Raw genomic sequence first — 9,921 nt, 5'->3', positions numbered from 1 at the left:
CCAGCTATGATCACACCATTGTACTCCAGCCTGGGAGTGATAGAGACCCTGTCAAAAAAAAAAAAAAAAAAGCAAAAAGCAATACTGGAAGCTAGGGAGATATGAAGCAATACCTTCACAATTTTAAGGTAAAATTATTTTTTAACCTAGAATTTTATTCTCAGCCAAACCATCAATTAAGTGTGAGGGTAGAATAAATGTATTTTTGGAGTGTAAGGACTCAAAACATTCCCTCCCATGAACCCTTTCTCTGGAAACTACTAGTGCTGTGCCGTCTAATATGGTAGGCATTTGCCACAGATGCTTATTTAAATTTACATTTATTACAGTTCAACACAATTTAAAATTTTATTCCTTAGTTACATTACCCACATTTCAAATGCTCCATAGCCACATGTGGCTAGTGAGCATCAATTTTTATTTTTATTTTTATATTTATGCTTTGAGACAGCCTTGCTCTGTTGCCCAGGCTGGAGTGTAGTGGTGAGATCTTGGCTCACTGCAGCCTCCACCTCCTGGGTTCAAGAGATTCTCGTGCCTCAGTCTCCCGAGTAGCTGGGATTACAGGTGCATGCCACCATGCCCAGCTAATTTTTGTATTTTTAGCAGAGATGGAGTTTCACCATTTTGGTCAGGCTGATCTCGAACTTCTAAGCTCAAATGATTCACCCACCTCGGCCTCCCAGAGTGTTGGGATTACAGGTGCGAGCACTGAGCCCAGCCCGAGCATTGATTTGATTGCGCAGATATAGAACATTTCTATCACTGCAGAACTTCTATTGCACAGCACTATACCTGAGAATGTGCTCAACCAAAATAAGAGGAAAATCGTAAATAGCATTGACACTGGGAGATAATATGTAACATATTATACAGAGATAATATTGCCTTTTGCCTTTTTTAAATCTGAAAATTTCTGAATTCTGAAACATGCTTACCCTAAGAGTTTCAGATAAGGATTATGGACTCATGTTAATAAAAAGAAAATTTAAAATTAAAGAGTAAGATAGTATGGCAAAGACTCAGTATTGTACAGGTATCACATTTCCCCTAATTTATTGATAAATTTCCCCAAATTAATTTTAAAATCCGAGCAGAGAATCTTTCTGTCTCTGGAACTTAACAAACCAACTCCAAAATTTATTTGGAAAAGCAAGGGTCAAAAAAAGAAAGACAAATGTAGAAGAACAAGGTAGAGAGATTTGCTCTATCAGCTAAGACATTAAAAAGCCACAGTAATAAATAGAAGACGTGATGGCAGGGACAGGCAAATAGACCAATGGAACAGAATCAGCATGGAAATAGGCTCCCTCTGACCACTTGACAAATGGCAGAGACAGTGCATTAAAGTAATTGGGAGATTTCAAAAAATTAATAAAGAGTACTGGAGAAATATTTTTTTTAAATTAATAAATGATGCTGAGACAGTTGGTTTTCCTTAAGGAAAATAACACAATTAGGTCCCTAACCCTACACTAAAATCAATCCAAGGAGATTAACATCTAAATGAAAAAAGTAAAAATCATTTCAAAATTAAAAGGACATCATTGAGATATGCTAGCCAAGAGGGCTTTCTTAAATAATCCTTAAAAAATATAAACATGGCTGGGCAAGGTGGCTCATGCTTGTAATCCCAGCCCTTTGGGAGGCTGAGGCAAGATGATCACTTGAGGCCAGACGTTCAAGATCAGCCTGGGCAATAGAGTAAGACCCCCACCTCTATTATTAAAAATAAATAAATAAATAAACATTTAAAATGCTGATAAAATTCAATGCATAAAAAGATAAAGCTTCTGTGCAACAAAGGACCAATAAAATTAAGAGACAAGCCTTAAAATAGAATCCAATATTTAAAATGAATGTAATTAATACAGGATTAATGTCCAAATTATATAAAGAACTCTCACAAATCAATGAGAAAAAGGAAAACAACCCAATGGGGAAAAATGGTCAAAGGACAAGAACAGGAAATTTACAGAAGAAACATGAATGACCAATGCATACATGCAATGATGCTCACTCTCACTAATACCCAATGTAATGGTTGTTAAAACCAACTGCCATTCTATTTTGAACAGATTGGTAAATATTAAAATGAGTGCCAACAGCAAGTGCTGGTGAATTGGTGGAGCAATGGTGATTATCATGTACTGGTAGTGGGACTGTAAATTGGTACAATCACTTTGGAAAGGAATTTGGTCACATCTTTAATGATGAAGATGTGCATTTTCTACAACCCAGCATTTCCACTCCTAAGAGTCTATGTCAGAGAAGCTAGCACCTAAGAGCATAAGCAGAAACGTACAACATTGTTCTTTGCAGCATGGTTGGCGATAGCACAAAAGCTAGAAACAAGCTAGATTTCTCTCAATAGGTAAGTGGATAAATAAGCTGAAGTACTGTATCACTGTTTGCTGTATCACTGTTAAAGATAAATGAATAAATCAACATGAATACATTTCAAATTCTGAACAATAAAAGTGAGTTTTAGAGGAATACACACAGTGTACCATTGAAACAAAGTTAACAATATGCAAAACTATATATACAGTTAATTCTTTACAGATATTTATACATAAGGTAAAATTATAAAGACAAAAATGGGATAATAAACCTCAAATTCAAATACTTCTGGGGGAATATGATATTACAGAAAGGTACATAAGGTACTTCAACTGTCTTATATGTGTTTGTGTGCACTATATAAAAAAATATATATAATTTTATTTTATCTTATTTTTTTTGAAAGAGGGTCTCACTCTGTTGCCCAGGCTGGAGTGCCGTGGCGTGATCTTAGCTTACTGCAGCCTCCACCTCCTGAGCTCAAGTGATCCACCTGCCTTGGCCTCCCAAAGTGCTCGAATTATAGGTGTGACCCACCATGACCAGTCTATATATATATTTTAAATAAAGTTTATTTTTGAGTATTTTTAGGTTCACAGAACAATTGAGTAGAAGGTACAGAGATTTCCCATATATTCCCTGCCCCCATGTACTCACAGCCTTCTCTACTATCTACATCCTGCCCCAGAGTAGTACATTTGTTGTAACTGATGAATCTACATTGACTCATCATTATCATCCAAAGTCCATAATTTACATTAGCATTCAGTCTTAGTGTCATACATTCAATGGGTTTTGGCAAATGCATCATGACATGTATCCATTAGTATAGGATCATATAGAATAGTGTAACTACTCTAAAAATCTTCTGTTGTATTTTATTTATTAAAAAAGAGAGATATGAATTATATATGGCAAAATGTTAAAGTCTGACAGCTGGACTGAATGTACTTGTGTTTAATAATCAATTCTCTAAAATTTTCTTAATGCTTAAAATATTTTAAAATAGGAAAAGATCATAGGTATCTCTTAGGTGAGACTTTAAAAAAAATACATGGGGGTGATATATATACATTTGGTTTCAAAAGTTCTCTATCATCAAAGAAAAGCAAACGGGCCTATTCCTCTACCTTCAGCATCTCCCAGTCTTCTCTCATTTTCACCCAATTTCATCAACATAAAAATGCATATAGGATCATTCCATGTGGCTTGCCCTTGGTCCGGGGCACACCTAGGAATGAGGGCCTGAAACAAGTGTGTGGATGGTGGACCCTGGGAACTGGTCTTTGCTGGAGAAGCAGCTCAGCTCAGATTTGCAGATGCTGACTCAGCAAAGTGCTACATTCTTGGTGTTCCATTGTGACTGCTCGACTGCTGAGCTGTGTGACTGATTCTTTAGGGACAAGCAAACCCCCCTGTCCTCACTGTTTTTCCTCATTACTTTTTAAACTGGGGTCCTCAGGAGAGTTCCATTTGGTGGGCTCTAGGGACCTAAAGGAGTTCCTTAAACCACTTAATTTGCAAGGCATATGGGGATTACAGAACTAGAGGAATCGAGTTTATTAACTAGTCTCAGCCCCACTCCCCCAGAACATGACACACACTCATCAGATTCTTCTCTTTGTGATTGGGAAAGCACCAGTGACACCAACTCTGGTGTCACCCGACCAGCTCAGGGGTACAGCTACAGTGTGCACAGTGTGCACAGTACAGATGTGGATTTATGACACATGATAGGCTGAATAATGGCCTCCAAAAGTATTCATTTCTGAATCCCCAGAATTTGTGAATATATTATTTTACGGCAAAATGACTTTGCTGATGGGATTAAATTATGGATTTTGAGGTGGGCAGATTACGTTGGGTTCTGTGGGTGGGCCTTAAATGTATTTACAAGTGTCCTTAAATGAGAGAGGCAGAGGGAGATTTGACTACAGAATTGGAGTGTTAGAGTAACACGGAGTGAGAAAAACTTGACCAACCACTGCTGGCTTAAGAAATGGAGGAAGGATCCCAGGCCAAATAATGCAGGAGACTTCTCAAAGCTGGAAAAATCCAGGAAGCAGATCTCCCTGAGAGCCTGCAGAAGCAATGCAGCCCTGCTGACACCTTGATTTTGGCTTGGTGAAACCAATTTTGGACTTCTGTCCTTGATATGGTTCAGCTCTGTGTCCCCACCCAAATCTCATCTTGTAGCTCCCATAATTCCATAATTGTGGGAAGGATGCAGTGAGAGATAAATGAATCATGAGGGTGGGTCTTTCCTGTGCTGTTCTCCTGATAGTGAGTAAGTCTCACAAGATCTGATGGTTTTAAAAATGGGAGTTTCCCTGCATAAGCTCTCTTTCTTTCCCTGCCACCATCCACGTAAGATGTGACTTGCTCCTTCTTGCCTTCCACCGTGATTGTAAGGCCTCCCCAGCAATATGGAACTGTAAGTCCAATAAACCTCTTTCTTTCGTAAATTGCCCAGTCTTGGGTATGTCTTTATCAGCAGCATGAAAACAGACTAATACAGTTCTCCAGGACTGTAAGAGAATAATTTGTGTTGCTTTAAGACACTGTGGCGATTTGTTACAGGGGTGTTACGGGTTGAACTGTGTCCTGCCCCAGTTCACATGTTTAAGTCCTGACCCCCACTACCTCAGAATGTGACTAGATTTGTAGATAGGGCCTTTCCAGAGGTCATTAAGGTAAAATGAGGTCACATGGTGACCTCAACTCATCCAACACAACTGGTGACCTTGTAAGAAGCAAAAATTAGGACACAGACATGTGTGTGCACAGAGGAAAGAGCATGTGAGGACACAGCAAGAAAGTGGTCATCTGCAAGCCAAGGAGAGTGACCTCAGAAGAAACCAAACTGGCTGATACCTTACTCTTGAACTTGCAGCCTCCAGAGCAGTGAGAAAGTTTATTTCTGTTGTTTAAGCCACCCAGTCTGTGGAGTTTTGTTATGGAAGCTCTGGCATACAGGTTGGAATACAGGTTGCTCCAAGAAAACCAGCTGTGCCTGAAGGTTGGACGCTGAATATATAGATCATCTTACATGATGTGAGACATCAGTCAACTGTCCATATCAAAATAAAGTGGCCGGGCATGGTGGCTCGTGCCTGTAATCACAGGACTTTGGGAGACCGAGGCGGGCGGATCACCTGAGATCAGGAGTTTGAGACCAGCCTGGCTAACATGGCAAAACCCCATCTCTACTAAAAATACCAAAATTAGCTGGGCATGGTTGTGGGTGCCTGTAGTCCCAGCTACTCGGGAGGCTGAGGCATGAGAATCCCTTGAGCCTGGGAGGCAGAGGTTGCAATGAGCTGTGATTATGTCACTGCCCTCCAGCCTGGGTGACAGAGCAAGACTCTGTTTCAAAAAAAGAAAAAAAGACATTGTTTTATTCTCATCCTCAAACCCCGCGGGACAAATTTCACTTCAGACAGCCCTCCTGCCCCTTCATGTGGCTGCTTTCAACTACCACATCAGCCAAATTTTGCTCCTCAGCTTCTGATTTTAATCCTGGTATTGTTTGTTGCTCCAGAACTCTTCTATCCCCTGCTATCCCCCATATCTTCAAGTTTGTATTGAACCTATCACCTTCCTCCCTCCCTCCTCCTGTCCTTCCTCCTTTCCTTGTCTCCTCCCTTCCTTCCTCACTCCTCTTCCCTTCCCTCTAGTAATATTGATCTTCAGCTCTGCATGGGGTATATATTTCCGGGTAGTCACTATTAAACCCACTCATTAACCAGAGAGGGACCAAAAAAAAAAAAAAAAGAAAAAAGAAAACACTGGTCTTCCTGTATCTCTCATGAAACAGTCAGGGCAAGGCAAGGGCTGCTTATCACACAGAGGCCCTGAGCCATGCACCTGCCCTTCCCACTACCATCACTATATCATCCTCCATCTAATAGTCATCTATTGCTACAGCATTTTACTGGAAGTCCAGCTACTCTTTTTAATAAATTGATTTTCTGGGCAGGAACCAGGAGAGTTCTGTACATTTTAGTGTAAGTAAAGGCAACTTCCAGAGGTTAGGGGAGAGAAAGTAGTAGAATCTACACTATCTTGAATATATTTGGCTGCCAGCCATAGAAAACTCTGTTAACCATGGCTTAAACAATGATGGCATCTTGTTATTTGACCAAACAAGAAGTCTGGAGGAATCCAGACTAGCGCTGGACTAGCAGGTCAGGGATGGCATCAAAGAGCGGGGCTCTTTCTATCTTTCCTTCTCCACCATCTTCTGTGTGCTGGTTTTTCATCTTTGTGCTTGAGGCCTCATGATTACAGAATGGCTACTACAGCTTCAGACATTGCAACAGAATTCCGAGACAGGAAGTAGTGGGAGAGGGGCACAAACTAACAATAAAATAACTTGTCCTCAAATGCCTCTTTTCTTTCATTTGTAAAGAAAACATTTTTGCAAAAGATTCTGTCACCCTTCCTCTTATATGTCATTGGCTAGAACTGGGTCACATAGCTGTCTTTAGCTGCAAGGAAGGCTGGGTAAGGAAGAATCTCACTTCTTCAGCTTTGCTACAGGATGTCACTCATGAGAGAAAGAGGTTGGCATGGCTGTGTGTTGGCCAATTGACCATGTGTATCAATAACTCTTGTCACTCAAAAATTCTTAACTATATCTACTCAGAATCTCCAAGGGAGCAAAAGGTAGCAGATCTGATAAAAATGGAGAAAGGATTTCTCTGGCATTGCCCCGCTTCCTCTCCCTACACATCTCACTCAAATCCCTTCTCAACACAATGCACCCAGAGCCACCAGAATGTGGGTGCTTTGCTTGTGCATATGTTCTGAGACTCTCAGAAGGCTGAAATGGGGATCAATGGTCTCCAGTACCTGGGTTCATATTTATTAGGCAGAACCATGTTGGCAGGAATCTATGATGAAGACACTGTTGGATTTCTGGGAGCCTGCCACTCCTGAAACATGAATGGAGTCAATTTCCATTCCAAGCAGAAATAGTCTCAAGGGTTCAGACATTACACAAATCAATTCCATTTTAGATTAGAGTCTGAAAATTTAGCAAAAAGGGGACATCACACTTATGGTGGTCATTTTGGCCCATACCAGTGGCTGATAGGAAGGCTCTAGAGGCAAAGGCAAGTTTTTAAAAACACCCAGCCAACTTGGAAAAGGAGCAAGAAAAGGGCATAAGCTTTGAGCCTTTAATAGGAGTTGCCAGGGTGGTGCAAAGATCATCCTCTGCTCCGGCAGGACAGTGGCTCATGTTAATCCTCAGACCTGCCAGGTTTCAAGCATACAGGGTAAAGAACAATAAAAATGCTTCGTCATTTATGGCTGAAGATGGTATTGGCGACTCACATCGGTAGGGTTTTATTTATTCTTCCTGTAGGAGCAGAAGATTTGTGTGGGTGGCTCACGCTCCCTCCTCGTACCTTTCCTACCAGAATAGAGTGTTCTTTGAGAGGATTGAACAGGATTCGGGGAAAGACTGTGGGTTTTGTTTTGTTTTGTTTTGTTTGACAGTGTCTCACCCTGTCACCCAGGCTGGAGTACAGTGAGGCGATCATAGCTCGCTGCAGCCTCCAACTCCTGGGCTCAAGAGATCCTCCTGCCTCAGCCTCCCGAGTAGCTGGGACTACAGGCGTGTGCCACCATACCTGGCGAATTTTCGTATTTTTTTTAGAGATGGAGTCTTACTACGTTGCCCAGGCTGGTCTTGAACTCCTGGGCTCAAGCAATCCTCCCACCTCAGTCTTCCAAAGTGCTGGGATTATAAGCATGAGCCACTGCACCTGGCAAGACTGTATCCTTTGCATAGAGCAGGAAAATGGCCTGGCTGCCTTTTTACCCCCTTGGGCCCCTGCTTCCCTCAGCTGCTCCAAATATTGCCTGAGGTTTCTGAGCCTGAGGTGCACACCTCACTTTTCCAGCCTTGCGTTCTCCCTCTAGCCACTTCTCCAAAATTACCCCTCTCTGATCTGCTTTCAAGCCCTGCTACCTCTACCCATTTCCTTCCCAGCCCTGGATCAGTTTCTTCAGCTCATCTTAATGAAGCTGACCCATTTTTCAAGGCCCCTCTCAGCCACCATCTCCTACGTGAAGTCTCCTGAAATGAACTCCAGCAAATTGAGTTGTTCTTAGCCCTGTCTGCCATGGCATCTTGTATGTATGACTTGTGTGCAATTGAAATTTAGGGCTGAACCAGGGCTGTGCTATTTGTGAACATGCATGTCTCTGCCTGAGGTAATAGACTGAATTACAATCATGATAGACACAGTGCTTGTCTCAGAGAAGGCATCCACGTTTTAAAAGCAAGTTGAAATTCTGGTATAAATGATCACTTTATCACAAAACAATTTTGGAAAAAAAAATATTAGAGGACTTCTAGTACTCCATTTCTTTTTTCTTTTTTTTTGAGTCAGAATCTTGCTCTGTCGCCCAGGCTGGAGTGCAATGGCGCGATCTCGGCTCATTGCAACCTCTGCCTCCCGGGTTCAAACAATTCTCCTGCCTCAGCCTCCCGAGTAGCTGAGATTACAGGTTTCTGCCACCACGCCTGGCTAATTTTTGTATTTTTAGTAGAGACAGGGTTTCACCATATTGGCCAGGCTGATCTCGAACTCCTGACCTCATGATCTGCCCGCCTCGGCCTCCCAAAGTGCTGGGATTACAGGCTTGACCCACCGTGCCCAGCCATACTGCCCCATTTCAAAAGTTACTACAAAGCCCTGTTAATTAAGACAGTGTGGTATTTATGTAAAGACAGACAAATAGGTCAATGAAACAGATTAGAGTCTGGAAATAAATCCTTGCATTCATGGCATTTATGGTTGATTGATTTTTGACAAAGGTGTCAAAACATTTCCATGGGATTTCTTTTCAGCAAATGGCACAATTATATATCCATATGCCAACAACAACGACAAAAAAGTACCTCCATCATACACAAAGGATAATAGCCCAAAACGTAAAAGCTAAAAGTAAAAAATTCTAGAAAAAAGCATAGGAAATCTTTGTGACCTTGCTTTAGGCAAAGGATCCTTGGATTCAGCATTAAAAGCATGAGCCATAAAAAAATTGATAAATTGAAGTTGAATTAATTTAAAAACTTTGACTTCAAAAAATATGAAGAAAATGGACCACTGGCTGGGAGAAAATATTTGCACATCATATATCTGATAAAGGACTTGTATCAAGAGTCTAAAAAGAACTTCCATAACTCAATAAGAAGACAATCAACTCAATTAAAAATGGCCCAAATCCTTGAGTGAACATTTCACCAAGGACAGCCTAGGAATGGCTAATCAGCACATTAAGATATGCTCAACATCATTGGTTATTAGAAACATGAAAGTTAAAACCACATTGAGATACCACTTTGCACGCTCTAGGATGGCTACAATAAAAGAGAGAATGCAAAGTGCGCAGAGAGAAACTACAACCCTCATAGATGGCTGGCAGGAATATTGAAGAGTACAGTCACTTTGGAAAACAGCATGACAGCTTGTTGAAATGTTAAACACAAACATACTCAACAAATCTACCCAAGAATCCACCCAAAAAATCCACCCAAGAGAAATGAAAACATATGTCCAC

At 41.1% G+C, this 9,921-nt stretch overlaps 2 annotated features.

Moving 5' to 3' along the window:
• Positions 2,943 to 3,237: an enhancer, noted in NCBI's record as "tiled region #3246; HepG2 Activating DNase matched - State 9:DNaseU". NCBI's record gives its function as "activates a minimal TATA promoter and a strong SV40 promoter by Sharpr-MPRA in HepG2 cells {active_cell/tissue: HepG2}" and the evidence as "EXISTENCE:reporter gene assay evidence [ECO:0000049][PMID:27701403]".
• Positions 2,970 to 3,170: a silencer, noted in NCBI's record as "peak3168 fragment used in MPRA reporter construct". NCBI's record gives its function as "represses an SCP1 promoter by STARR-seq MPRAs in K562 erythroleukemia cells {active_cell/tissue: K562}" and the evidence as "EXISTENCE:reporter gene assay evidence [ECO:0000049][PMID:32103011]".

Source organism: Homo sapiens, chromosome 18, assembly GCF_000001405.40.
Source record: "Homo sapiens chromosome 18, GRCh38.p14 Primary Assembly".
Taxonomy (NCBI): domain Eukaryota; kingdom Metazoa; phylum Chordata; class Mammalia; order Primates; family Hominidae; genus Homo; species Homo sapiens.
Note: the sequence above shows the minus strand (reverse complement) of the source record. Positions and strands in the feature narration are given on the sequence as shown.